At 42.4% G+C, this 26,830-nt stretch overlaps 3 protein-coding genes and 1 pseudogene across 10 annotated transcripts in view, besides 5 other annotated features; 1 reads left to right on the forward strand and 3 right to left on the reverse strand.

The window, feature by feature from the left end:
- Positions 1–1,989, reverse strand: part of LOC128092252 (uncharacterized) — a 37,916-nt gene extending 35,927 nt beyond the window's left edge. The window contains exon 1 of the mRNA NM_001414947.1: positions 1,803–1,989. Coding sequence (NP_001401876.1) covers positions 1,803–1,989 — 187 coding nt within the window. The remainder of the gene's footprint in view (positions 1–1,802) is intronic.
- TRPM7 (transient receptor potential cation channel subfamily M member 7) overlaps positions 1–2,069 on the reverse strand; it is a 129,640-nt gene extending 127,571 nt beyond the window's left edge. For all 5 annotated transcript variants that reach the window (NR_149154.2, NR_149152.2, NR_149153.2 and 2 more), the window contains exon 1: positions 1,803–2,069. Coding sequence is in view for 2 of the 5 variants with exons in the window: in NM_001301212.2 (NP_001288141.1) it covers positions 1,803–1,805 (3 nt within the window). In the remaining 3 variants the exon portion in view is untranslated. The remainder of the gene's footprint in view (positions 1–1,802) is intronic.
- Positions 1,157–2,021: an enhancer, noted in NCBI's record as "H3K27ac hESC enhancer chr15:50978082-50978946 (GRCh37/hg19 assembly coordinates)". NCBI's record gives its function as "activates a minimal SCP1, AML or CMV promoter by ChIP-STARR-seq in naive and primed H9 embryonic stem cells {active_cell/tissue: H9 hESC(naive and primed)}" and the evidence as "EXISTENCE:reporter gene assay evidence [ECO:0000049][PMID:30033119]".
- Positions 1,551–1,970: an enhancer, noted in NCBI's record as "active region_9396". NCBI's record gives its function as "activates an Ori minimal core promoter by ATAC-STARR-seq in GM12878 lymphoblastoid cells {active_cell/tissue: GM12878}" and the evidence as "EXISTENCE:reporter gene assay evidence [ECO:0000049][PMID:35858748]".
- Positions 2,021–2,190: a silencer, noted in NCBI's record as "silent region_6429". NCBI's record gives its function as "represses an Ori minimal core promoter by ATAC-STARR-seq in GM12878 lymphoblastoid cells {active_cell/tissue: GM12878}" and the evidence as "EXISTENCE:reporter gene assay evidence [ECO:0000049][PMID:35858748]".
- Positions 2,281–2,460: an enhancer, noted in NCBI's record as "active region_9397". NCBI's record gives its function as "activates an Ori minimal core promoter by ATAC-STARR-seq in GM12878 lymphoblastoid cells {active_cell/tissue: GM12878}" and the evidence as "EXISTENCE:reporter gene assay evidence [ECO:0000049][PMID:35858748]".
- RN7SL354P (RNA, 7SL, cytoplasmic 354, pseudogene) lies at positions 4,172–4,387 on the forward strand (annotated as a pseudogene).
- The window catches only part of SPPL2A (signal peptide peptidase like 2A), a 63,441-nt gene continuing 54,148 nt past the window's right edge, over positions 17,538–26,830 (reverse strand). For all 4 annotated transcript variants that reach the window (NM_001438112.1, NM_032802.4, XM_017022680.2 and 1 more), the window contains one exon: positions 17,538–23,146. In NM_001438112.1, the coding sequence (NP_001425041.1) occupies positions 23,115–23,146 (32 nt within the window). In that variant the 3' untranslated portion in view covers positions 17,538–23,114. The remainder of the gene's footprint in view (positions 23,147–26,830) is intronic.
- Positions 25,951–26,151: a silencer, noted in NCBI's record as "peak2334 fragment used in MPRA reporter construct". NCBI's record gives its function as "represses an SCP1 promoter by STARR-seq MPRAs in K562 erythroleukemia cells {active_cell/tissue: K562}" and the evidence as "EXISTENCE:reporter gene assay evidence [ECO:0000049][PMID:32103011]".

Here is a 26,830-nt window from a genome sequence, read left to right on the forward strand (position 1 = left end):
ATGGAAATTCTACAAGGCAAATGATGGGTTTCTTTCAACAAATAAATGGTAAAAGACACCCCCACACCCCAAGAGAGAAGGTACTAGAGACTGAAAGAGTTACCGACCAAATGCTATGTGCAGAATTCTTTGTAACCTGATTCTAACAAATCAACTGACTAAAACATGAGACAATCAGGGAAATATGCTGAATATTTAATGATACTAAGCAATTATTAATTTTTAGGCATGATAATAATATTGTGGTTATGTTAAAAAGTCCTTGTCTTTTTAGACATAAACACAATAAAGTATCCATAAATGACATTTGTCTGGGATTTGCTTTAAAATTATCCCATTGAGGAATGATAGAAGAAATAAAATTCACATGGTTGAAGCTGTTGAAACTGGCCAATGGGTATATGGTAGTTCATTCTACAATGTATCTTTGCAAGTTTGAAATCTCCCATGTTGGCCTGGCGCGGTGGCTCACGCCTGTAATCCCAGGACTTTGGGGGGCTGAGGCGGGCGGATCACCTGAGGTCAGGAATTAAGAGACGAGCCTGCCAAACATGGTGAAACCCCGTCTCTACTAAAAATGCAAAAATTAGCCGGGCATGGTGGCTACAGTCCCAGCTACTCGGGAGCCTGAGGCAGGAGAATCGCCTGAATCCCGGAGGCGGATGTTGCAGTGAGCGGAGATCGCGCCACTTCACTCCAGCCTGGGCGACAGAGTGAGACCCTGTCTCAAAACAAACAAACAAAAAAGAATAAGGTGGAAAATAGTGAAAGACACATTATTTATTCAAAGTATTACTACATTTGTGTTATAAGTAAAACTCTTATTTTAGTTTTGTATGGCACTTGAATTAGCGTCCAGTGAAAAGCAAACTTGCCAGACTCCAGCAGAGGGAGAGTTGTTTGCATAAAGCCTATCAAATTCAAGTACTGACCAAAAATACCTACTTTGCTCTTCATGTCCCTGATGTAAATGACTTTCTTAAGAAATCTTCAAAATTGGTTCCTGATATCCAAAAATAAAAAGCTCTATCGGAAGCTGCAATGCACCGCCTCCCTCTCTCCATTCCGCACCTTTCGGTTTAAAACACGATCAACTGTTCTCTGGGGCAAGGGATGCGGTAGTTCGACTTAAATCCTGACTGACAGTACATTGTCTTGGTCCCCACAGAAGCCTCCCCCCACCCACCAAAATCCTTAATTCTTGCTAAAGAAAAAAGATCTACCATCAATATTGTCAAATCCCTCCCTTTTGGTTCCAAAAAGGAAATGTACCTGTAGAGTATCCGCTGCACAGCAAACAAGGCACTGCTCCAAACCCGTGTCCTCTACCCCCTTTTTGCACCCTTCTAGCCCTCCCTCCCTTTTTTCCATGTAAAACTTGAGCAGAGCATTTGGTTCCCTTATCTGCCAGCAACTGGCGCCAGGAGGACCGTGCTCCCAGGAGATGCGGAGCTTGTAGGCTGAGCCCTGCGTCGGGCGCGCTGAGGCCGCTCAGCTGAGCCCAGCCAGGTAGTCCCGGGCTCGCGCCTCTGCCGCCTGGAGAGGCCCTCGCTGGGAGCCGAGTCTCGGCTCAGGGGATTCCCGCGAAGAGGTGTCGCCTCTAACTTGCTACCTGCTCCCGCCCCTCACCCCAGAACGAACTGCACACCCGTCCCGAGAGGACAAATCCGGAAGCCTCAAGGCAATTCGAGGGTCCTTCGCCGCATGGAACGCGGCTCCCCACACACTTGCCTGCCAAGTCTCTCCTTTACCGCCCGCAACCCCAGAACCATTCCCCGCCCGGGCCTGCGTGGGTCCAGTACCATTCTCCTCACGGGGCGGACTCCGGAAGGGCAGCAACTCCACCTCCTCCTCCTCCGCGGCCTGTAGCCATCTATCGGGAAGCGTCTCCGGAGGCGGCAGCAGAGGCCGCCGGACAAGGAACGCCCAGGGAAACCTTCTCAGAACTAACTCAGCTCCGGCGCTAGCAGCAGAAGCCGAGTCTTTCATAATTGTGCGACCAACTCCTCCGGGTGACTGGCCACAGGGACGCGCCCGCGCCCGCCTCCGCCGGCGACGGGGCTGGGGACGGACCACGTGAGCGGCGCGGCGCGGCGCGTGCGTCGCCGCCCGCGGGTCGGGTCACGTGAAGGGCGCGCGCTCCCTCGATTCCAGGCCGCCTCCCTGCGCGCCGCGCGCACGCGCTGGGCAGGTTCGCGCCGCCACGCCGACCGCCTCTGGGTTCCCAGAAAGTGGTGGGGTGTTCACGCCGTATCTCCGTTGGGTACCTAGGCGGGACTTAGACAAACTTCAGCCTCAGCTACGAGAGTGGAACTTGGGGAATCGGAGGTTGAGGGTTAAGGTTCAAGGCTTGCGGATCCAGTCTGGAGTTGCTGTGTGGGCTCATTCCGCTAACTAGGCCTGGCCTGTGCCGACTCGCTCCAGCAAACTCGAGTGTCGCAACACACTCTGTGTGCTTCAGAGCGAGTAGAGGCTTTAAATGTTACTCTCTCCTCGTCCAAAATGCAGAATCATCTTTTTACCCCAATCATGTTCTTTCTCTAGCCTCTCCTGTTGCTGCCGGTAAATATTCTTCTTTGTTTAACTATGGGACTGTCTTTTTCCCTCCAGAGATACTCACCCACATACACGCATACACCACACCTTCTGCACCAAAAACTGGGTTGTTCCCTTGATGTAATATGTACCTATCCACCTTTCCATTTATTTTGCTGTCACACATGCCAAGGTTTGGCTATTAGCAATGGTTTACTAAATGTTATTCCTTATCTACTGGGAAGACCACAATCAGTTTAATTTTCTTAAAACTGCTTTAACATCTTTCTGCTCCTGAAGTCTTCGAGAGTTCCTCAATCTGACCCTCAGGGATCTGACTGTCTTATCTCTTTTTTAAAAACGACTTTATTTTAAAATAATTGACATGACAAACTGCACGTATTTAAATGTCCAATTTGATAAGTTTTGACATACCTGTGCACCCATGAAATCACCATAATCAAATGAACGTATTCACCTCTAAGTTTCCTCCCCCCCCTTCATAATCCCTTCATCTCGTCCCTCTCCATCACGTCCCTTATCAACTACAGATCTACTTTCAGTACAGATAAGTTTGCACATGCTAAAGTTTTATATACGGGAATCATACAGCACGCACCTTTTTTTTCCGTCTAACTTCTTTCATTCAGCATAATTATTGCCTCTCAAACATTATGACCCACAATTCACTGAAGTAGGATCTTCTCTCAGAAAAAAAACTAATCCACCCACTGGTTCCCCCAGCTTGTGAACAATCTTCAGGTATTGTGTATTTCTTCCCCATCTGGCAGGTCCAGCAGAACCAAGACTTAAAAATGTTTTAATATATGTGTCACACTAAATTGTCAGCCTTGGGGAAGGCATCTTGACTAATTTATGCATGCAGTCAATAAATGTTTATCTTCTGGATTTCAGTTGGGCCTACACATTTCCTGCCTGTAGGGAGTTTATAATCTAGAAGGTAGAGGCAGACAAACTGGAAAATCAAAATAAAATGAGATTAGAGTGCTTTGTTTCGTTAGAACTTTGTAACTCTGGTCTTTTTGTACTCACGAATGCTTCGCTCCTTAGTTGGATGGTGTAGAAATGAAACAAGATGAGCTCCTTGGCACTTGCCAGAACTCTTTGGTAAATTGGAAAATTTAGAGTTAGAAATGGGGAACAGGATTGGGTGGGCGCGGTGGCTCATGCTTGTAATCCCAGCACTTTGGGAGGCCGAGGCGGGTGGATCACCTGAGGTCAGGAGTTCTAGACCAGCCTGGCCAACACGGTGAAACCCCGTCTCTACTAAAAATACAAAAATTAGCTGGGCATGGTGGCAGGCGCCTGTAATCACAGCTACTCGGGGGGCCGAGGCAGAAGAATCGCTTGAACCCAGGAGGCAGAGGTTGCAGTGAGCCGAGATCGCGCCATCTCACTCCAGCCTGGGGGACAAGAGCAGGACTTCGTCTCAAAAAAAAAAAAAAAAAAAGAAAAAGAAAAGAAATGGGGAACAGGATTTATCCTTAATTGAACTAATCAAAATAAATTCCTTAATTTTCAAGTGATCAACCAGCCTTGAAATTCACAGATGCTGACTTTCAATCAGCAATCAATTCTGGAGAATGAATTTATTCATTCAAAAAATATGTATTGAGTCAGGCACAGTGGCCCATGTCTGTATTCCCAGCTACTCCAGAGGTTGAGGCAGAAGGCTCATGTGAGCCCAGTTCTGGGCTGTAGTGTGCTATGCGGATTGGGTGGCTGTGCTAAGTTCAGCATCAACGTAGTGACTTCCTGGGAGCAAGGGACCACCAGATTGCCTAAGGAGGGGTGAATCAACCCAGGACAGAAATTGAGCAGGTCAGAATTCCTGCTGATCAGTAGTTGGATAGTGCCTGTGTATAGCCACCGCACTCAAGCCTGGACTACGTAGCAAGACCACGTCTCTTAAAAAAATATCACGCCAGTAATCCCAGCACTTTGGGAGGCCGAGGCGGGCAGATCACAAGGTCAGGAGATCGAGACCATCCTGGCTAATACTGTGAAACCCCGTCTCTACTAAAAATACAAAAAATTAGCCGGGCGCAGTGGCGGGCGCCTGTAGTCCCAGCTACTCGGGAGGCTGAGGCAGCAGAATGGCGTGAACCCGGGAGGCGGAGCTTGCAGTGAGCTGAGATAGCGCCACTGCAGTCCGGCCTGGGCGAAAGAGCAAGACTCCGTCTCAAAAATAAATAAATAAATAATAAATCTTGAAATATATATATTTATATTCAGTGTCTAAGAATATGTCAGGAGCAGTTATAGTCAGTGTTCGGTGATGACAAGATTGATAAATTCAGTGCTTCAGAACATGTTTGTTAAATGTTCTTACACCTTTTTTCCAGAAGGGTTTTGTTTCCATTTTGGTCAATGGCATGTCTATTTTTCACTCTCACTAGATCACATACTAATTCTCCTCCTTGTCCTTGCCTAGTTACAACATTTCAACACTTACTACTATGCTGTTTAAAATGCTAAGCAAAATATTATGAGAATAAAATGATGCAGTCTGGGCAACATGGTGAAACACTGTCTCTACAAAAAAACTAGAAAAATTAGCCCAGTGTGGCTGTGCGTGCCTGTAGTCCCAGCTACTCGGAGGCTGAGGCAGGAGGATTGTTTGAGCCCAAAAGGTTGAGGCTGTGGTGAGCAAGATCATGCCACTGTACTCCAGCCTGGGTGACAGAGCAAGACCCTGTCTCAAAATAAAGAAATAAAAAATAATAATAAAGAGTCTCTTGATTTTTTTTTTTCGAGATGGAATCTCACTCTGTAGCCCAGGCTGGAATGCAGTGGCGCGATCTCAGCTTACTGCAACCTCTGCCTCCCAGGTTCAAATGATTCTTCTGCCTCAGCCTCCTGAGTAGCTGGGATTACAGGCACGTGCCACCACACCCAGCTAATTTTGAGTAGAGACAGGGTTTCACCATGTTGGCCAGGCTGGTCTCGAACTCCTGACCTCAAATGATCCGCCCACCTCGGCCTCCCAAAGTGCTAGGATTACAGGTGTGAGGCACCATGCCCAGCCTATATATTCTCTATTATAGCATTTATCCTGTTGTATTCAACCAACTTACTTGTTAATCCCCTACTAAACATTCAACTGCATGAGGATCATAACCTTATCCATCTTAAATGCCTACTAAGTAGGTGTCATCAAGCATTCAGTCATTTAATAAATATTTGTTGAACAAACAAATAAACTCTCTTGATAGGCCAGAATCTTAAAATGTTACTCTGTCCTTTGATTCTGGCATGCAGAGTGTCATGTCAGATTAAGATAAGATACCGTTCCTAAATAGTAGAGGGTAGCCGGGTGTGGTGGCTCATGCCTGTAATCCCAGCACTTTGGGAGGCTGAGACGGGCGGATCACCTGAGGTCAGGAGTTCGAGACCAGCCTGGCTGACATGGTGAAACCCTGTCTCTACTAAATACAAAATACTTGCTGGGTGTGATGGCACATGCATATAATCCTAGGTACTTGGGAGGCTGAGGCAGGAGAATTGCTTGAACCCGGGAGGCAGAGGTTGCAGTGAGCCGAGATTGCGCCACTGCACTTCAGCCTGGGCAACAAAGGTGAAACTCTGTCTCAAAAAAAAAAAAAAGAAAGAAAGAAAAGAAAGTAGAAGTAAGAGAAACATGAAGTTAAATTTCCCTTATAAAATCAATTATGTAAATATCAATTCCCCTAATACTACCCATATTCCTTGGAAACTCTTTGTACATCATCATGGCATATATACCTCAGTTTGAGGACAACTGCCTTAAGCACTAACTCTGATTACACCTCTTTCATCTCAGTGCTTCAATCTATTGATATGTGTATAATTTTGTGGTAGAGAAGTATCATAGCAAGGTCAATATTTTAAAGCAAATCATATAAGAGGACAGGTGCAGTGGCTCACGCCTGTAATCCCAGCACTTTGGGAGGCTGAGATGGGCAAATCACTTGAGTCCAAGATTTCAAGACTAGCCTGGGCAACATGGTGAAACCCCATCTCTACTAAAAATACAAAAATTAGCTGGGCATGGTGGCACACGCCTGTAGTACCAGCTACTTCGGAGGCTGAAGTGGTAGGATCTCTTGAGACCAGGAGGTGGAGGTAGCAGTGAGCCAAGATCACACCACTACACTTCAGCCTGGGTGACATAGTGAGACCCTGTCTCCAAAAAACTCAAAAAAAAAATCATATAGAAGCTAGGCATAGCAGTGTGCACTTGTAGTCCCAGCTACTCAGGAGGCTGAGGCAGGAGGGTCACTTGAGCCTAGGAGTTGTGGGCAAAACAGTGAGAGGCCATCTCTTAAAAAAGATGATATGGGGAAATGAATAATTAAAATTTGTAATTTAAGCACATTACCATTTACATTAGCACCAAAAAAAGTAACAGGTATAAATCTTGCAAAATATGTATAAGATTTATATGAAGGAAGCTGCAAAACTCTGACAAAAACAATCAAGCTCTAAACACATAGATAGTCCATCTACATGAATAAGAAGACTCAATATTGTCAAGATACCAGTTTTTCCCTACTTGACCTATATATTCAATGCACTCTTAATCAAAATATTGGCAAGTTGTTTTCTGGATATAGACAAACTAATTCTAAAGTTTATGTAAAAAAGCAAAAGACACAGAATAGCTAACACAATATTGGAGAAGAACAAAGTTGAGGACTGACATGATACTACCCAGCTTCAAGACTTACTACAAAACTGTAGTAATAAAGACTGTGTTTTGGCAAAAGGATAAACAAACTAAATCAATGGAACAAAATAGAGACCTCAGAAGTAGACCCACACAAACACAGTCAACTAATTTTTGACAAAAGAGAAAAGGCAATTCAGCAGAGAAAGGACAGTCTTTTCAACAAATGGTGCTGGAACAGCAGGACATCCACATAGAAAAAAAAAATCTAACACAGACCTTATACCCTTCACAAAGATTAACTCAAAAGAGATTTTAGACAAAATGGAAAATAAAAAACAATAAAACTCATAGAAGAAAATCTGGGTGATCTTGAGTTTGGAAATGACTTTTAGATATAACACTAAAAGCACAATCCATGTAAGAAAAAAATTGATGTTGGATTTTGTTAAAATTAAAAACTTCTGGCTGGGCTCGGTGGCTCATGCCTGTAATCCCAGCACTTTGGGAGGCCAAGGCGGGCGGATCATGAAGTCAGGAGATCGAGACCATCCTGGCTAACATGGTGAAACCCCGTCTCTACTAAAAATACAAAAAATTAGCCGGGCGTGGTGGCAGGCGCCTGTAGTCCCAGCTACTCGGGAGGCTGAGGCAGGAGAATGGCATGAACCCAGGAGGCAGAGCTCATAGTGAGCTGAGATCGCGCCACTGCACTCCAGCCTGGGCGACAGAGTGAGACTCCGTCTCAACAACAACAACAACAACAAGCAAACTTCTAGGCCAGGCACAGTGGCTCAGACCTGTAATCCCAGCACTCCGGGAGGCCGAGGTGGGCAGATCACTTGAGGTCAGGAGTTCGAGACCAGCATAATGAAACTCCGTCTCTACTAAAAATACAAAAAATTAGGCCATACGTGGTGGCTCACGCCTGTAATCCCAGCACTTTTGGAGGCCGAGGTGGGTGGATCACGAGGTCAGGAGTTCAAGACAAGCCTGGCCAATATGGTGAAACCCCATCTCTAATAATAATACAAAAATTAGCTGGGTGTGATGGCATGCACCTGTAGTCCCAGCTACTCAGGAGGCTGAGGTAATAGAATTGCTTGAACCCAGGAGGCGGAGGTTGCAGTGAGCCGAGATCATGTCACTGCACTCCAGCCTGGGCAACAGAGCGAGATTCTGTCTCAAAAAAAAAAAAAAAAGGCCAGGCGCGGTGGCTAACGCCTGTAATCCCAACACTTTGGGAGGCCGAGGCAGGAGGATCACGAGGTCAGGAGTTCGAGACCAGCCTGGCCAACATGGTGAAACCCTGTCTCTATTAAAAACACAAAAATTAGCTGGGCGTGGAGGCGCGTGCCCGTAATCCTAGCTACACGGGAGGCTGAGGCAGGAGAATCGCCTGAACCCGGGAGGCGGAGGTTGCAATAAGCTGAGATCGCGCCATTGCACTCCAGCCTGGGCGACAAAGTGAGACTCTGTCTCAAAAAAAATAATAATAATAAAATAAAATAAAATAAAATTAGCCAGGCGATGTGGCGGACGCCGGTAATCCCACCTACTCCGGAGGCTGAGGCAGGAGAATCCCTTGAATCCCAGAGCCTGAGGTTGCAGTGAGTTGAGATCATGCCACTGCACTTCAGCTTGGGCAACAAGAGCAAAACTCCATCTCCAAAAATAAATAAATAAATAAGTAACAACTTCTAGGCTGGGCATGGTGGCTCATGCCAGTAATCCCAGCAATTTGGGAGGCCGATACTGGTGGATCACTTGACATCAGGAGCTCGAGACTGGCCTGGCCAAGAGGACAAAACCCCAAGTCTACTAAAAATACAAAAAGTAGTCAGGCATGGTGATGTGTGCCTGTAATTCCAGCTTTTGGGGAGGCTGAGGCATAAGAGTCCCTTGAACCTGGGAGGCAGAGGTTACAATGAGCTGGGATTGTGCCGCTGTACTCCAGCCTGGGTGATGGAGTGAGACTCTGTCTCAAAAACAAAGAAACAATCAAATCAAATTAAATTAAAAAACAAAATTACCCAACCATGGTGGCACATGCCTGTAGTCCCAGCTACTCGGGAGGCTGAGGCATGAGAACCACTTGAACCCGGGAGGCAGAGGTGGCAGTGAGCCGAGATTGCGCCACTGCACTCCAGCCTGGGTGATAGAGTGAGACACTGTCTCAAAAGAAACCCAAAAAATAAAAACAAAAACAAAAACCCTTCTACTTTGTGAAAGATGCTATTAAGAGAATAAAAAGATAAGCCACAGGCTGGAAGAAAATATTTGCAATATGCGTATCTGATCAAGGAAGGGATGGTATCCAAAATATAAAAAGAACTCTTTAAAATCGATAAGAAGGCCGAGATGGGTGGATCACGTGAGGTCAGGAGTAAAAACCAGCCTAACGAACATGGTGAAATCCCATCTCTACTAAAAATACAAAACTAGCTGGGCGTGGTGGCGCATCCCTGTAATCTCAGCTACTCGGGAGGCTGAGGTAGGAGAATCACTTGAACCAGGGAGGCAGAGGTTGCAGTGAGCCGAGATCATGCCATTGCACTCCAGCCTGGGCAACAAGAGCAAAAATCTTTCTCAAAAAACAAAAACAAAACAAAACAATAAAACAACTCACTAAGAAAACAACCCAATTAAAAAAATCTGAAGTTAAAAACATTGAAGAGAAGGTAAAAAATTTGAACAGACATTTCATCAAAGTATACAGATGGCAGACTTTAGTTACAATTGGTTATCCTTTTTTTTTTTTTTTTTTTTGAGATGGTGTCTCGCTTTGTCATCCAGTCTGGAGTGCAGTAGCATGATCTCAGCTCACTGCAACCTCTGCCTCCTGGGTTCAAGCGATTCTCTTGCCTCAGCCGCCTGAGTAGCTGGGACTAACAAGCATGCGCCACCACACGGGGCTAATTTTTGTATTTTTAGTAGAGATGAGGTTTCACCATGTTGGCCAGGCCGGTCTTGAACTCCTGACCTCAGGTGATCCATCCGCCTCGGTCTCCCAAAGTGCTGAGATTACATGCATGAGCCACTGCACTCAGCCCACAATTTCCTGTTTTTGAAGGAGAGTTTGTTAACTTTCTTAAATGAGTGACAATGGGTACATTGAATCATTATAGTATTTTGCTGGACCTGGTGGCTCACGCCTATTCCAGCATTTTGGGAGGATCATTTGAGCTCAGGAGTTTGAGGTGAGTCTGGGCAATATAGTGAGACTCCATGAAAAAAATAAAAAAGGCCAGGTGCCTTTTTATTACACTGTAATCCCAGCACTTTGGGAGGCCGAGGTGGGTGGATCACCTGAGGTCAGGAGTTTGAGACCAGCCTGACCAACATGGCGAAACCCCATCTCTACTAAAATGCAAAATTAGCCGGGTGTCGTGGCTCATGCCTGCAATCCCAGCTACTCTGGAGGCTGAGACAGGAGAATCACTTGAACCCGGGAGGTGGAGTCTGTGGTGAGCTGAGACTGTGCCCATTGCACTCCAGCCTGGGCAACAAGAGTGAAACTCTGCCTCAAAAAAAAAAAAATTACTATCTCTTATGGTATTCAGGTTTTATAGTTTCCCACAATTATTTAAAATGTTGACATTCACAAAAATAGAGGTTTAAATTTATTTTATTTTATTTTTGAGATGGAGTCTTGCTTTGTCACCCAGGCTGGAGTGCAGTGGCACCATGTCGGCTCATTGCAACCTCTTCCTCCTGGGTTCTAGCGATTCTCCTGCCTCAGCCTCTCAAGTAGCTGAAACTATAGGCATGCACCACTACGCCCAGCTAATTTTTATTTTTAGTAGAGACGGGGTTTCACCATGTTGGCCAGGCTGTTCTCAAACTCCTGACCTCAGGTGGTCCGCCCACCTCAGCCTCCCAAAGTGCTGGGATTACAGGTGTGAGCCACCACACCCAGCCAGAGTTTAAGTTTAGATAAACAAAAGCAGGCCAGGCATAGTGGCTCTCACTGGTGATCCCAGCACTTTGGGAGGCCAAGGCAGGATGATCACTTAGGTCCAAGAGTTCAAGACCAGTCTGGACAACATAGGGAGACCCTTGTCTCTAGAAAACAAAACAAAACACAAACTAAAAGCAGAATCCTGAAGGATCTGAAGTAGGGCTATTGAAGACATGAGAGTCCTTCCCTTCTTATACTGAAAAGCTAGCATTTATTATGTGGTTTTTTACTTGCTGGGTGCTGTTCTATTCACTTAACATGTATTAACTCATTAGCTCCTTTCAACTCTGTAAGCCAGATGCTATTATTATTCCTCCACTGCACAAAGGAGAAGATTGAGGCACAGGGCAGAGCCAGGATTTCAACCATTACAGTCTAATTCCAGAGTTTGTGCCCTTGAGCCTTATGCTATATTACCTCTTGTGACAGTAAGTCACAACTGAGAAATCTGTCACTAACAATAGAAAACAGATTGTATGTGATTCAGTCTCTCACAAAATCTTTACCTCAACCTGTTTAATCAACGAGTCAAAGATCTTTTTTTTTTTTGAGACGGAGTCTGGCTTGTCGCCCAGGCTGGAGTGCAGTGGCGTGATCTTGGCTCACTGCAAGCTCCGCCTCCCGGGTTCCCGCCATTCTCCTGCCTCAGCCTCCCGAGTAGCTGGATCTACAGGCGCCCGCCACCACGACCAGCTAATTTTTTGTATTTTTTAGTAGAGATGGGGTTTCACCGTGTTAGCCAGGATGGTCTCGATCTCCTGACCTCGTGATCCGCCCGCCTCGGCCTCCCAAAGTGCTGGGATTACAGGCATGAGCCACGGCGCCCGGTCCAGTCAAAGATCTTTGTTTAATGCACTAGATACCAATTGTTGGCTTATGTGATTGTTTCCACATTAATCATGCCTCTGGCTTCTCTCTGAATGGATCTGCCATCAGTGTGAGTCCCTGGGCAACTGAAAAAGAGACACACACTTTATCGCAAAACTAAAAAGGAACTATTTAGGGCTGGTGCGGTGGCTCACGCCTGTAAGTGGGAGTCTTTGGGAGTCTGAGATGGGCAGATTGCTTGAGCCCAGGAACTGGAGACCAGCCTGCACAACATGGCGAAACTGTGTCTCTACAAAAAATACAAAAATCAGTTGGGCATGGTGGCACGTGCCTCTAGTCCCAGCTACTCAGGGGGCTGAGGTGGGAGAATAACCAGGGGAGGTCGAGGCTGCAGTGAGCTGTGATTGCACCATCCCATTTCAGCGTGGGTGACAGAGTGAGATGCTATCTCAAAATATATATATATACAAATAAAAATAAATAAAAAGAAATGATTTAGGGCCAGGCACAGGGAACACGCCTGTAATCCCAGCACATGGGAGACTGAGACGGGAAGATTACTGGAGCCCAGGAGTTTGAGGCTGCATTGAACCATGATCATGCCACTCCAGCCTGGGCACTCCAGCCTGGGCAACAAAGCAAGGCCCTGACTCTAAGAAAAAATTTTAAAAAGAAAGGACGTAGAATGTTGACAACATTAAAACAATTAAAATTGTTTAAAGCATGAAAACAAAGATAGAGTCAATATATGAGATCTCCATTTTATGTAACTTTCTCTGTCATTTAAACTCAGACACTCATAGATGCCTGGCAAATGACTACAGAAGCCTTTGTTTATATAAGCAGAAGGTGATTAAACCAGTTCCAACAAATTTTGCTGTACTTTGGATAGAGGATTAATGGATTTTCTTTCTTAGGGACTCTTTCAAAAGAATTACCCTCATTTGCTAGTGGAAAGCTTATAAAATGCCAACTAAAAATACCTGGAATGTTTCAAACACTAATCTCTAACCCCAGTACCTTAGTACAGTGGCTGGCATATCATAAGTATTCAATAAGTATTTCTTGAATAATTGAGAGGATGAAAATCAGGCTTCTTTCAATTGTATTATATGTGATATGCTAATCACTTACACAATATACAACTAAAAAATTTTTAAATATTTTCCCACTTTATTTTTTTTTTGAGACAGAGTCTTGCTCTGTCTCCAGGCTGGAGTACAGTGGTGTGATCTTGGCTCACTGCAACCTCCACCTTCCGGGTTCAAGCGATTCTCCTGCCTCAGCCTCCCGAGTAGCTGGGATTACAGGCGCGCCCCACAACGCCTGGCTAACTTTTTTTTGTATTTTTAGTAGAGACGGGGTTTCACTATTTGGCCAGGATGGTCTCGATCTCTTGACCTCGTGATCTGCCTGCCTCGGGCTCCCAAAGTGCTGGGATTACAGACGTGAGCCACTGTGCCTGGCATATTTTCCCACTTTTAATAACCTTTTCTTTGGCCTGTGTTTATTTCTAAAAGGGAAAAAAGTTTCTTCCTAAAGCTCTAAAACTCTGCCCCAAGTGACTAGATTTGGGCAAAAGCCAGGACAAATTACTGGTAACCATAGAGAGAAATTCCCCTTTGAATTCAGCAAAGCCCTATGTTGATTAAGAATATTATTGTTGGGGCCAGGCACGGTGGCTTACTCCTGTAGTCCCAGCATTTTGGGAGGCTGAGGCGGGTAGATCACCTGAAGTCAGGGGTTCGAGACTAGCCCGGCCAAAATGGTAAAACCCCATCTCTACTAAAAATACAAAAATTAGCCAGGTGTGGTGGTAGGCACCTGTAATCCCAGCTACTCGGGAGGCTGAGGCAGGAGAATCGCTTGAAACCAGGAGGCGGAGGTTGCAGTGAGCTGAGATCGCATCACTGCACTCCAGCCCCAGCCTGGGCGACAGAGCGAGACTGTCTCAAAAAAAAAAAAAAGATCTGATTTTCTGACACTGGATGTAATCACATTTCTATTTCTATGATATATTAACATTGTTAATGTCAATTTATTATAATAAAATTTTAACATTGTAAGATGAGCTAAGGAATATCCTAAAATGCAAGATAAATGGCATCAATTCAAAGTTACTGTATGGGTTTTTATGTGTATGAGTGTATATATACATGTCTCACTGTTTTTATTTTTCCTCTTTTTTTTTTTTTTTTTTTTTTTTTTTTTTTTTCTGAGATGGAGTCTTGCTCTGTCGCTCACTGCAGGATTTCCGCTCACTGCAACCTCTGCCTCCCGGTTTCAATCGATTCTCCTGCCTCAGCCTCCTGAGTAGCTGGGATTACAGGTGCCTGCCACAATGCCTGGGTAATTTTTTGTATTTTTGGTAGAAACAGGTTTTCACCATGTTGGCCAGGCTGGTCTTGAACTCCTGACCTCAGTTGATCCGCCTGCCTCAGCCTCCCAAAGTGTTGGGATAACAGGCGTGAGCCACCTCGCCGGCCCTCTGTCTTTTTTTGTTTTAATTTTATTTTTAGAGACGAGGTCCCACATGTTGCCCAGGCTGATCTTGAGCTCTGCCTCAGCCTCCTAAAGTGCTGAGATTACAGGCATGAGCCACCAAGTCAATCCTTGTCTCATTATTCTTTTTTCTTTTTGAGACGGAGTCTTGCTGTGTCGCCAGGCTGGAGTGCAATGGCTCGATCTCGGCTCACCGCAAACTTCGCCTCCTGGATTCAAGCGATTCTCCTGCCTCAGCCTTCCGATTAGCCGGGATTACAGGCACGGGCCACCATGCTCGGCTAATTTTGTATTTTTAGTAGAGAGGGGGTTTCTCCATGTTGGTCAGGCTGGTCTCAAACACCCGACCTCAGGTGATCCGCCCGCCTTGGCCTCCCTAAGTGCTGGGATTACAAGTGTGAGCCACCGCGCCCAGGCGTTAATGTGATTTTTAAGGTCTGACTAGTGTAGCCCCTGTTCATTTCCAACTTAATTTCCCATTGTATAAACTCCATCTCAAAAAAAAAAAAAATCATGCTAACGATTTTGGACTATTCTTAGATAAATTAGGTGCTGTTAAGGGTTTTTCTAAAGCACTGTAGTTGAATGATCAGATTTCCACTTTGGAAAGATCACTGGCTATGATGTGGAAAGGGAATCAGTGGCACAATTAATGGCTGGAAGACCCATTAAGAAACTGTTACAGTACAGACAGATTAAGTTAATTTAGTGGTGGTGGGGATGGTGATTCCTGGAACTCTTTTGAGACAACTGGAAGACAGAATGGAGAGGACTTGGCAACTGCCTTTGTATATTTTATTTCTCTGCATTGAAAGGGACTGAATTTGGTCAATAGTTGGTGAGACTTCAGTGGAAAAGTGTTGCACATACATATTAACACATTTGTGGATGAAACATTTTTCACATTTATAAAAAAATTATTTGGTTTTCTATATAATTAAATAGGTAGCAGAGCCTATTTATAGGTGACTTACTAATTAGAAGCCAATTGGTACCTTTTCCCACTTAATCTAGAGAAGTGACTCTTTGATCTAAATTGTTAAATTGCTTTTAACAGAATGATATGCCAAACTGTAGACATTCAGTTTTAGCTGACTAGGAACTGTTAATATTTGCCCATAGCCTCCTAAGGAAGAAAGAATTAGTGCCTTACTATAGTTTACAGCGATCTCTCTCCAGAAGTCCGCTAAGAAGTCTGGCTATTGCTACAAGTGCAATGCTTCTATTCTAAGGGCTCATACACAGGTAATTGGAATTTCCAAAATTTTTTTAGAGAGAACATTTTATCATCAGTGTTACCTAGAATGGTCATTGTTTTCATTTTCTGGCACTAATGCTTTTCAGTGATATTTTAATTTTTGCTTTATTTTTAATTTGTCGTGGGTCAGTAGGGTAAGCGTCACAACAAAAAAAATTTTAAACTATTGATCTGGCCAAGCGAGGTGGCTCATGCACTTTGGGAGGCCGAGGCAGGCAGATCACAAGGTCAGGTGTTCGAGACCAGTGTGACCAAGATGGTGAAATCCCGTCTCCACTAAAAATACAAAAATTAGCCAGGCATGGTGGCTCACGCCTGTAATCCTAGCATTTTGGGAGGCCGAGGCAGGCGGATTGCCAGAGCTCAAGAGTTGAAGACCAGCCTGGGCAACACGGTGAAACCCCGTCTCTACTAAAATACAAAAAATTAGCCAGGTGTGGCGTGGTGGCGTGCACCTGTATTCCCAGCTACTTGGGAGGCTGAGGCAGGAGAATCACTTGAACCCGGGAGGGGGTGGTTGCAGTGAGCCAAGATTGTGCCACTGTACTCCAGCCTGGGCGACAGAGCAAGACTCTGTCGCAAAAAAAAAAAAAGAAAATGATATGAATAATTTACTATTTAACCAGCTGTTAGTATGATTATTTATTAAGAGAAAAATAATTATCTGAATGTTTAAACGAATAAATTTTATAACATCCCCCCAAAATTAACTCAGTAGATTCTTATGGTATTTGTATTTTAAATTCATAACAGAAGCATATGATAGAAAATGCAGAAAGTAAGAGTATAGGCTGGGCTTGATGGCTCATGCTTGTAATCCCAGCACTTTGGGAGGTTGAGGCAGATCACTTGAGCTCAGGAATTTGAGACCAGCCTGGGCAACATAGTGAGACCTCGTCTCTATTTTTCAAAATATTAAATATGAGAAAAAAAAAAAAGTATACATGGAAAAGTCCTCACTCCGGTGCCCTAGCCATCTTACTTCCTTTCTCCCTAAAAAAAAAAGCCACTCTTTCCAGTTTCTGGAAAGTTATGTATCTTTCCAGATATATGGGCCTGTAGTATGACAGAAGGTTCCTGTATGGAGGGAAGAACAGGATTTTCTCAACATATCATCAAGACAAACTACAATACATATCAAGGCCAATCTCATCTGAATTAAAAAGAAAGTACAATGGCAGCAAGGATCTTGGTAATTTCTGGGAACAATATCAGCAAAAATGCAAATGCCAGGATTGTTCATCACAAGGGGTGGGACTTTGTTTTTTGGTAAAAAATAGCCTATATAGACCTTGGTATTTATTTATCTATTTTTTTTTTTTTTTTTGAGACAGAGTCTTGCTCTGTCGCCAGGCTGAAGTGCAGTGACACGATCTCGGTCACTGCAACCTCCACCTCCCGGGCTCAAGTGATTCTCCTGCCTCAGCTCAAGTGATTCTCCTGCCTCAGCCTCCTGAGTAGCCAGGACTACAGGCGCATGCCACCACGTCCAGCTAATTTTTGTATTTTTAGTAGAGACGGGGTTTCACCATGTTGGCCAGGATGGTCTCCATCTCTTGACCTCGTGATCCGCCCACCTCGGCCTCCCAAAGTGTTGGGATTACAGGTGTGAGCCACCGTGCCCGGCCAGAATCTAGGTTTTAAGGATAATTTGTAAAACCTAAATAGCTACATAATTTCTTAAGCAATTATTACCATTTTTGTGTTATATGAACATGATCTATCTAGCACACTGTTAGTTCATTTTCAATTAGTTTCCTCATTCAAAATAAAACAAATTCAAATTTTATTTTAAAATAGAATTTATTGAATACCATAGTATATTAAATACATAAAAAATTGTTTTTCTTGTCAGTATTGGCACATAATGATAAAGTACTGCTAAATTAACACTTCAAAAATTTCAAATTTTAAAACATTCCATAAAAATATAAAGCCTAGTAGTGTTATAAAAGTATTAATTTACACTAACTTACATATCAAAGTGTTAAAAAAGAAATTCCACACTCAAACCAATTATCTGAGAAGTAAAAATTCAATCATGTTTTAAAAAATGTTTTCATTTGAACAAAATGCAACAGAAGGTATAAAACAGGCAAAAATTACCTAATTTACATTGACTTGTCCTACTAGAAAATGTTGCAGGTTAACTTTAGACATTAAAAAGATTCATATTCCAAAGGAATAGAAAAGCTGTTTGCAATACTTTTTATGCCTAATCAAAGAACCACATAATGACATTTTGTGGGTTGCTCCTTAATTGCCAGTAATGGAGGACTACTATAAAAATTTAGTTTTAAAAATAATTTTTCTCCCAATGAACATTTTTATATGCAGAGGCTGTCCTCAATATGGAAAGATTAAACGAGGACATTTATACTTATGATCTTCACTATAATATGGCCTATATATTACCCTGTCAATTTTTTTTCACTCTGAAAATTCAGTAATCTAGCATATGAGTATTACAGTAGAGGATCAAATTCCAAAAGGTTGAGTAATTTGATTCAGATCTCTTGAATTTACAGAGTACTTTTCCTCCAGGAAATGTATAAAGTTATTTATTTTATGTTATATATCTATATTTCTTTGAGATGGCATCTTGCTATGTCACCTAGGCTGGAGTGCAGTCACTATTCACAGACACAATCACAGCTCACTACAGCCTCAAACTCCTGGGCTCAAGGGACCCTCCCATCTCAGCCAGTACATTCCATTGTACTGGTCTACACTGAATTCCATTCAATTGTAGACTGAAGTACAGTTTTTGTTTTTGAAATTTCATTGGTTAAGATCAGGCTGAAATTTTAGAGATTAAGCCTAAATAAATTAGTTCATATATACATATATATATATATATATATACATATATATATTTTTTTTTTTTTTTTTTTTTTTTGAGATGGAGTCTCGCTCTGTCGCCCAGGCTGGAGTGCAGTGGTGTGATCTCGACTCACTGCAACCTCCACCTCCCAGGTTCAAGCGATTCTCCTGCCTCAGTCTCCTGAGTAGCTGGGGTTACAGGCGAGCCCCACCACACCCAGCTAATTTTTGTATTTTTAGTAGAGACGGGGTTTCACCATGTTGGTCAGGCTGGTCTCAAACTCCTGACCTCATGATCCACCCGCCTTGGCCTCCCAAAGTGCTGGGATTACAGGTGTGAGCCACCGCACCCGGCCTTAGTTCAAATATTTTTTATTCAAATGTAAAATATGTCTATAACTCAAAGGATAAATGCTTGAGGGAATGGATACCCCATTCTCCATGATCCGCTTATTTCACATTGCATACCTGTATCAAAACATCTCATGCACTCCATAAATATATACACCTACATGTACCCACAATTTTTAAAAATGTAAAAATAGTAATTTTTGCTTATACTAAAGCATAAATTGAAAGAGCAAAGAAAACTGGAAAGCTCATTTGTATTTATTATAAATGTATCAATTCACTAAAATCTCTATGGACAAGTAAAATATAAGAATGCCAATAGCAGATGGGTTAAAATTCTCTTTAAAAGAGAAATAAATTGCAGATTCTACTAAGGAATTGCTAATCTAAAAAAAAATCTACAAGTGCCAGGCACGGTGGCTCATGCCTGTAATCCCAGCACTTTAGGAGGCTGAGGCGGGCGGATCACCTCAGGTTGGGAGTTCGAGACCAGCCTGATCAACATGGAGAAACCCCGTCTCTACTAAAAATACTATATTAGCCGGGTGTGGTGGCACATGCCTATAATCCCAGCTACTCAGGAGGCTGAGTCAGGAGAATTGCTTGAACCCGGGAGTCGGAGATTGCAGTGAGCTGATATCATGCCATTGCACTCCAGCCTGGGCAAAAAGAGCGAAACTCTGTCTCAAAAAAAAAAAAAAAAAAAAATCTACAAGCTAGAAGAAAATATAATGTATTAGAATATCAAGGTCTTTCCCCACAAGCCTCACATTTATTTTTGCTAAACTAAACTGAGACAAAAGTAATCTACATTACAATTTGAGATAGTGATTTCTGTTGATAAGCCACAAAAATGTTCAAAGGGATTTTCTAACTTTTTTTTTTTTGCATCAAGAATTAATAAATACAGTGTATCATTATTTTAAAGACATGTTTAGGGAAAAAACCAGCTTCTCTTCCCCTTAAAGTTATTGGTGGTGGGAGGGCAAGAGAGGAAGAGATGGCAGCTTTTTAAGTGAAATTTTAATCTTATCTATCTTTTGTTCATTTTGAGTCCCCAAATAAAATATTTCTGTACTTTAATTTCTTAATCACTATTGTCAGCTTGGTTGCTACACATTTAATTACAATATAAAGTTGACATTGAGGATGAAGAAACTTAATTATACTTTTTCTTATTTCTATTTAACCAATAAGATTTTAATAGCAAATTAGAACAAGATTTTACCTCCTTAATAACTAATGGTTAGATAAAGTAGAATTTGTATCAAGTAACTCGGATTTCAGATTTCTGGATGTACCAGTTACTATGCTACTGAGGAGATACATCTAGTTGATGAAGTTAAAATATTAATTACTACTCCAGTTATATGAAACCAAATTATTTTGAGAAATTATCTTATTTTGCCAGGCGCGGTGGCTCATGCCTGCAATCCCAGCACTTGGGGAGTCTGAGGCGGGCAGATCATGAGGTCAGGAGCTCAAGACCAGCCTGACCAACAAGGTGAAACCCCGTCTCTACTAAAAATACAAAAATTAGCCAGGTGTGGTGGCACGCACCTGTAATCCCGTCTACTTGGGAGGCTGAGGCAGGAAAATTGCTTGAACCAGGAGGCAGAGGTTGTAGTGAGCCAAGATCTTGCTACTGCACTCCAGCCTGGGTGACAGAGGGAGACTCCATTTCCAAAAAAAAAAAAAAGAAATTAATTATCTCATTTCGATGTAGTAAAAAAAAAATTTTCTTTAACATTCTTCATAAAATGTGATTAAGGCTATTAAATATAAAGCTTGGATGAGGGTGCAGATAATTTTACAAAACAGCTGTATTTTGGCAAATATTTTATTATTATAAATGAAAATACAGAGTTTTAAAACGGCACTTAATCTGTTCTCTCTCTCAGAGTCTGCCAAATAAATCAGATTTCTTGGAAAATATTCAAACTTGATACAATGGAGGCAAAATTAACTCTTGTCAGGTAAGTCATTTGCCATAAACGAAAGGACCCATAACTGCATTAAGCAGAGAGGGACTGACTGTCAATGAAGCTTCTCTATTTGCAATTTATTCAGCAAAAGCGAACAATTTTTAAAAAGTCTCTAATGCAAAATTTAGTTCAAGTATCAAAGGTCTGATCAATTTTAAAAGGCATTAGTTTTATTTTTAATAAATTGAACTGGCCTTAGATGAAAGATATAGTTCTGTTCACATATTTTATACATTATTTACAGAGAAATGAAAAATCCTGCTGCCTTTGTTATCACTTGTCATTTGCGAAATTCTTACTAAAATAAAAGAAAATGGAAAGATAATTTGACCTCTGACTTCCAGGAGAATGTTCAGGCCACATCTAAAATTTACCAAAGAATGGGGAAAAAACTTTTTTCAAGTTGGAAGGTACCAGAGTGATTAGCTGGTCTAACCTACTCATTTTACAGATTAGAAAACTGAGATATGGCCGGGCGCGGTGGCTCACGCCTGTAATCCCAGCACTTTGGGAGGCCGAGGCGGGCGGATCACGAGGTCAGGAGATCGAGACCATCCCGGCTAAAACGGTGAAACCCCGTCTCTACTAAAACTACAAAAAATAGCCGGGCGTAGTGGCGGGCGCCTGTAGTCCTAGCTACTTGGGAGGCTGAGGCAGGAGAATGGCGTGAACCCGGGAGGCGGAGCTTGCAGTGAGCCGAGATCCCGCCACTGCACTCCAGCCTGGGCGACAGAGCGAGACTCCGTCTCAAAAAAAAAAAAAAAAAAAAAAAGAAAACTGAGATACAAGGTCTTGAGATGCGGCAAATTACTCAACTCTTCCTTGTATTGTAATTAAACTGAGACTAACACCAAGTCTCTTGCTGTTGTTGCCAATTCTTTTCTCTGAACCGCACTTTGTACATCCTCCACCAAGATTAAGAATCATTACCTATGGGAAAAGGGGTGGGCATCAGGAAGAAAAAAAGATAACGGGTGGGAGTGGGGGAATGTGGGATAATGTTAGGAATGCTGTATTCAACGATGAGCCATATGTATTAATACATAATTTCTTAAGAAAAATAATTTTTTTAAAAAATCAAACCTTAACATTAACAGAACCAAATTGCAAAGATCAGAAATACCAAAGTGAAACTGAATGTTAGTACTGAAATTTAAGCTACATTTAAAAAAAAAAGGCTGTCAAACCAATGAAAACTAGATTTCAGTGTCTGTCTCCTTTTAGTGACTAGTTCTATATATTATGTTTCTCTATATCTGGAAAAATGTTCTTAATATAATACACGTGCAGTCTGAAGTAATTTCAGTTCTCAAGTTTATGAAAGGATTGGGTTTAAAAAAATACTACAAAAATATGCACTTATATTTCCAAAATTATGTATTTCTAACCTCTGCAGTGATATAAGGTCCAAATTTTCACCGTTGAACCGCCTTCTTGCATGGTGTTAAACAGTTATTTCTACAGAGCAGATATAATTTGCATAAATCTTTTTTTTTGGGATGGAGTCTCACTCTGTCGCCCAGGCTGGAGTGCAGTGGCGTGATCTTGGCTCACTGCAAGCTCCACTTCCCGGGTTCACGCCATTCTCCTGTCTCAGCCTTCCCAGTAGCTGGGACTACAGGCACCCTCCACCACGCCCAGCTAATTTTTGGTATTTTTAGTAGAGAGGGGTTTCACCGTGTTAGCCAGGATGGTCTCGATCTCCTGACCTCGTGATCCGCCCGCCTTGGCCTCCCAAAGTGTTGGGATTACAGGCGTGAGCCACCGCGCCTGGCCAATTTGCATAATTCTTTACAGTAAAACCCATTCAGAAATAGTAACTACTTGTATCTACCATCAGAGCTGAAAGAAACAGATTTCGTTAAAAAAAAGTATAGGGGTGGGTCAAGGCATTTTTTTTTAGAAAAATATACTGTATATAGTACATCTCGGAAACTACACAGACCATATGTTTTATTTAATGTGAAGGCACAACTTTAACATTAAAAGCAAAGCGTTTTAGTTATTTATGATGTAACTGTCAGTACCAGCTCATAAAAATATATTTTTGCAAGCATATCATTGAAGACTCTTTCAGATTGTCAATTCAAAAGTCAATTTAAAAAGTCGAAGTCTATTTGTAGAAAATCAATGACACATTATAGCAGTTCCACATAATATTATTGCTGGACAATCTGTTCACCAGATATCACAGGGTTTTCTTCATTTGTTGCACAATCCAAATGGTCCATCATCTAGGCATAAATAAAAGACGTTAGGAAATGCAAAATTTCAACTTGCCCCCAATATTCACTACATTAGCAAAAGGATTCTTTTTCTAAAAAACACAGATTGCTCTATGAAACTGAGCACTCCTTCTGGAGCACTGTTCTGGTTCAACATCCACACTTCTAAGGAGATAGTCAGGGTGACACTGAACCTCTCAGGAAGCCTAATCACATGACTCAAAGCCAATTTGTGTTCTCTGGATCTTCCGTTATCTCCATTTCCCAATATGAATACTGCCCTTCATGGCAGTGAGAACTCCAGAACAAAAGGAAGATATTCCTGACACTTATTCCAGGACACTATTCCAGGCAGTGTCCAATCATACAAATGGGAAAACTAAAAATGGCCTCATGAGTCACTGTGAGAATACCTGCTGACTCTGGGACAGTGTGATATTATTGACACCTTGAAATAACCGTAAGATAATTTAAACTTTGGAAACATTATAATAATTTCTACAAAAAATGAACTTGAGGTCATATGATATCTGAAAACAAAACCAAGAATACATTTGCTAGGCCGGGCGCAGTGGCTCACACCTGTAATCCCAGCACCTTGGGAGGCTGAGATGGGCAGATCATGAGGTCAGGAGTTCGAGACCAGCCTGGCCAAGATGGTGAAACCCCGTCTCTAATAAAAATACAAAAATTAGCTGGGCGTAGTGGCGGGCGCCTGTAGTTCCAGCTACTCGGGAGGCTGAGGCAGGAGAATTGCTTGAACCCAGGAGGCGGAGGTTGCAGTGAGCCGAGATCACGCCACTGCACTCTAGCCTGGCAACAGAGTGAGACTCTGTCAAAAAAAAAAAAAAATACATTTGCTATAGACTATTTTAAAGAAATTATCAGCTGGGCACGGTGGCTCATGCCTGTAATCCCAGCACTTTGGGAGGCCGAAGTGGGTGGATCACGAGATCAGGAGATCCAGATGGTCCTGGCTAACACAGTGAAACCCCGTTTCTACAAAAAAATACAAAAAAAAATTAGCCAGGCGTGGTGGCAAGCGCCTGTAGTCCCAGCTAATTGGGAGGTTGAGGCAGGAGAATGGTATGAACCCAGAAGGCAGAGCTTGCAGTGAGCCGAGATCGTGCTACTGCGCTCCAGCCTGGGTGACAGAGCGAGACTCCGACCAAAAAAAAAAAAAGAAATTACCAGTTAAACTTTTCTCAAATGGTCACTTCAGCTCTGCCTATATTCTCATAAAAAATTGTCTTATATTTGGAAATGAAGGATGAAGAAACTGTTTAAATGCTTTCAGTGTTTCAGCAACTCAAATACAATTACTAAAAATAGAAAAAAGTATTTAATGCCTTTGTGAAGACTGTTAAAGACTTTTAGACTAGTGATTAAATTTCAGTATTGCGATGCACTTTTTTCCTTTCCTTCATCAAGAATTAGAAGAAGGAAAGATCAGCAAGATAAATGTTCCTATTTTTGAAAAGTGGTTCTGAAGGCTTTAGTGTTTTTTGGAAGAAGAACAAGAGGGTGGAATCATCTTGAAACAGGGTCTCTTGACTTGCCAGGCAGAAAGAATACAACGTGAGCTAAGGCTTTTGGCTGACAACTGTCTCAACTAATGGAGACAGCTTACAAAATCAAAACCTGGGCCGGGCGCGGTGGCTCACGCCTGTAATCTCAGCACTTTGGGAGGCCGATGCAGGTGGATCACGAGGTCAGGAGTTCGGGACCAGCCTGGCCAACATGGTGAAACCCTGTCTCTACTAAAAATACAAAAATTAGCCAAGCGTGGTGGTGCGCCTGTAATCCCAAACCTACTCGGGAGACTGAGGTGGGAGAATTGCTTGAACCTGAGAGGCAGAGGCTTTGCTGACCCAAGATCGCGCCACTGCACTTCAGCCTGGGCAATAGAGAGAGAGACCCTGTCTCAAAAAAATAAAAAAAATAAAAAAATAAAAAACCTGCTGATACTCTACAAGCCATTTCAAGACCCAAAACCATTTTGAGGTCTTCTAATTGCCAAAGATATCCCCTAGATTTAAGGTCACTAGTTTGTAGCAATTCTAAGGGGAAAAAAACAAAAGCCAAATCAAGACAGATAACATTAAGCAGTTCACTACATGAAACATAAGATGAAGATGTTGAACATTTAATTTTAGTCAATTTAAATGAAGAGGGGAAAGGAAAAGTATGTAAGATATATTTAGGCCCCTCTTCTTCTAGGAATTTAAAAGTTCTGGGTCTAAGAGATTAGGGCTGTGTAGAGAGAAAATTGAAGCAGCCTCAGCAGAATGGATGGTGGAGAAACCCTCTTTCTTCCCCACGATCTGCTTACCCTGGCAACTGTAATCTAATGAAATGATAGCCCACATACCCTAAATTATAACATGCTTCCCTGGTGCCTCGTTAGCACAGTAGGTAGTGAGTCAGTCCCATCTAACTTGCCTCTTCTTTCCTAATCCCCAGGTACCTCACTGGCACTATATAATCTAATCCCTGAACATAGAAATATATTAATTAAAAAAACCACTTTCAAAGTCAACTTATTGAGAAGTAAGCATCTCTATTCCCTATTTACTTTTCTTTACTGACTTTCCAATAAAAACAATACAGAAACATAAAGAACAAAGTTTTAAAAAATATGACAATAAATTAACATAAATAATACAATTAATTGACAAAATTGCCAAACATTTTCATCATATTTGGAAACAGGAAAGCTTGATTTGGAAAGATGGGCTCTGAAATCAGATCAGCTAACCTGGCATTTTCTGATAGCTCTGCTTGCTTATAATTGAACCAATCTCCAGAAATAGTCTAATAAAACACTCATTAATGCAGGGTAACTGGAGACTTGCTGATACTAAAGCAGAGTTGTTCTAACTTATCTCTGTATTCTGACTTGTCAGTTACAGCTTGTGACTTCTAAAAATAATGAGAAGTACTAGTGACATTTAACAGACACAACTCACTGTTTACTGGGTATCACAAACTGAAAACTTACTACCTGCCCAGAGAAAAATAGCCCATTGGATATTGCTGCACAAATTTAACTCCACTTATTTCATTACAGAAGCAAAAAATATCCCCTAAAATGATGACTCCTTTTCATTGTGCTATATGCCAAAGTAATTATGACTCTGCTTGATTTTTCTCTTCTGAGAAAAAAGTATCTTTATTTGCTTTATACTAATTAGAACTAAGACTTCACATAAAATCAAATAAGTGGGTCTGAGTACTGTAGCTCTTGAAGCATTCCACAAAAAATGTTCATAGGAAATACAGTGTAACTAGTTTTGGGCTGTAGAAAATAATTTACAATTAGTATTTCCAAATTAGTATCCTTTTTTTTTTTTTTTTTTGTGAGATGGAGTGTTGCTTTTGTTGCCCAGGCTGGAGTGCAATGGCGCGATCTCGGCTCACTGCAACCTCCGCCTCCCGGGTTCAAGCAATTCTCCCCCCTCAGCCTCCCTAGTAGCTGGGATTACAGGCACACGCCACCACGCCTGGATAATTTTTTGTATTTTTAGTAGAGATGGGATTTCACTATGTTGGCCAGGCTGGTCTCGAACTCCTGACCTCAGGCAATCCACCCGCCTCAGCCTCCCAAACTGCTGGGATTACAGGCGTGAGCCACCGCGCCCAGGCCAAATTAGTATTATTTTAGTGAAACCCTATAGAAACATTACTTCTTTT

The sequence above is a fragment of the Homo sapiens genome, chromosome 15 (genome assembly GCF_000001405.40).
Source record: "Homo sapiens chromosome 15, GRCh38.p14 Primary Assembly".
NCBI classification, from domain to species: domain Eukaryota; kingdom Metazoa; phylum Chordata; class Mammalia; order Primates; family Hominidae; genus Homo; species Homo sapiens.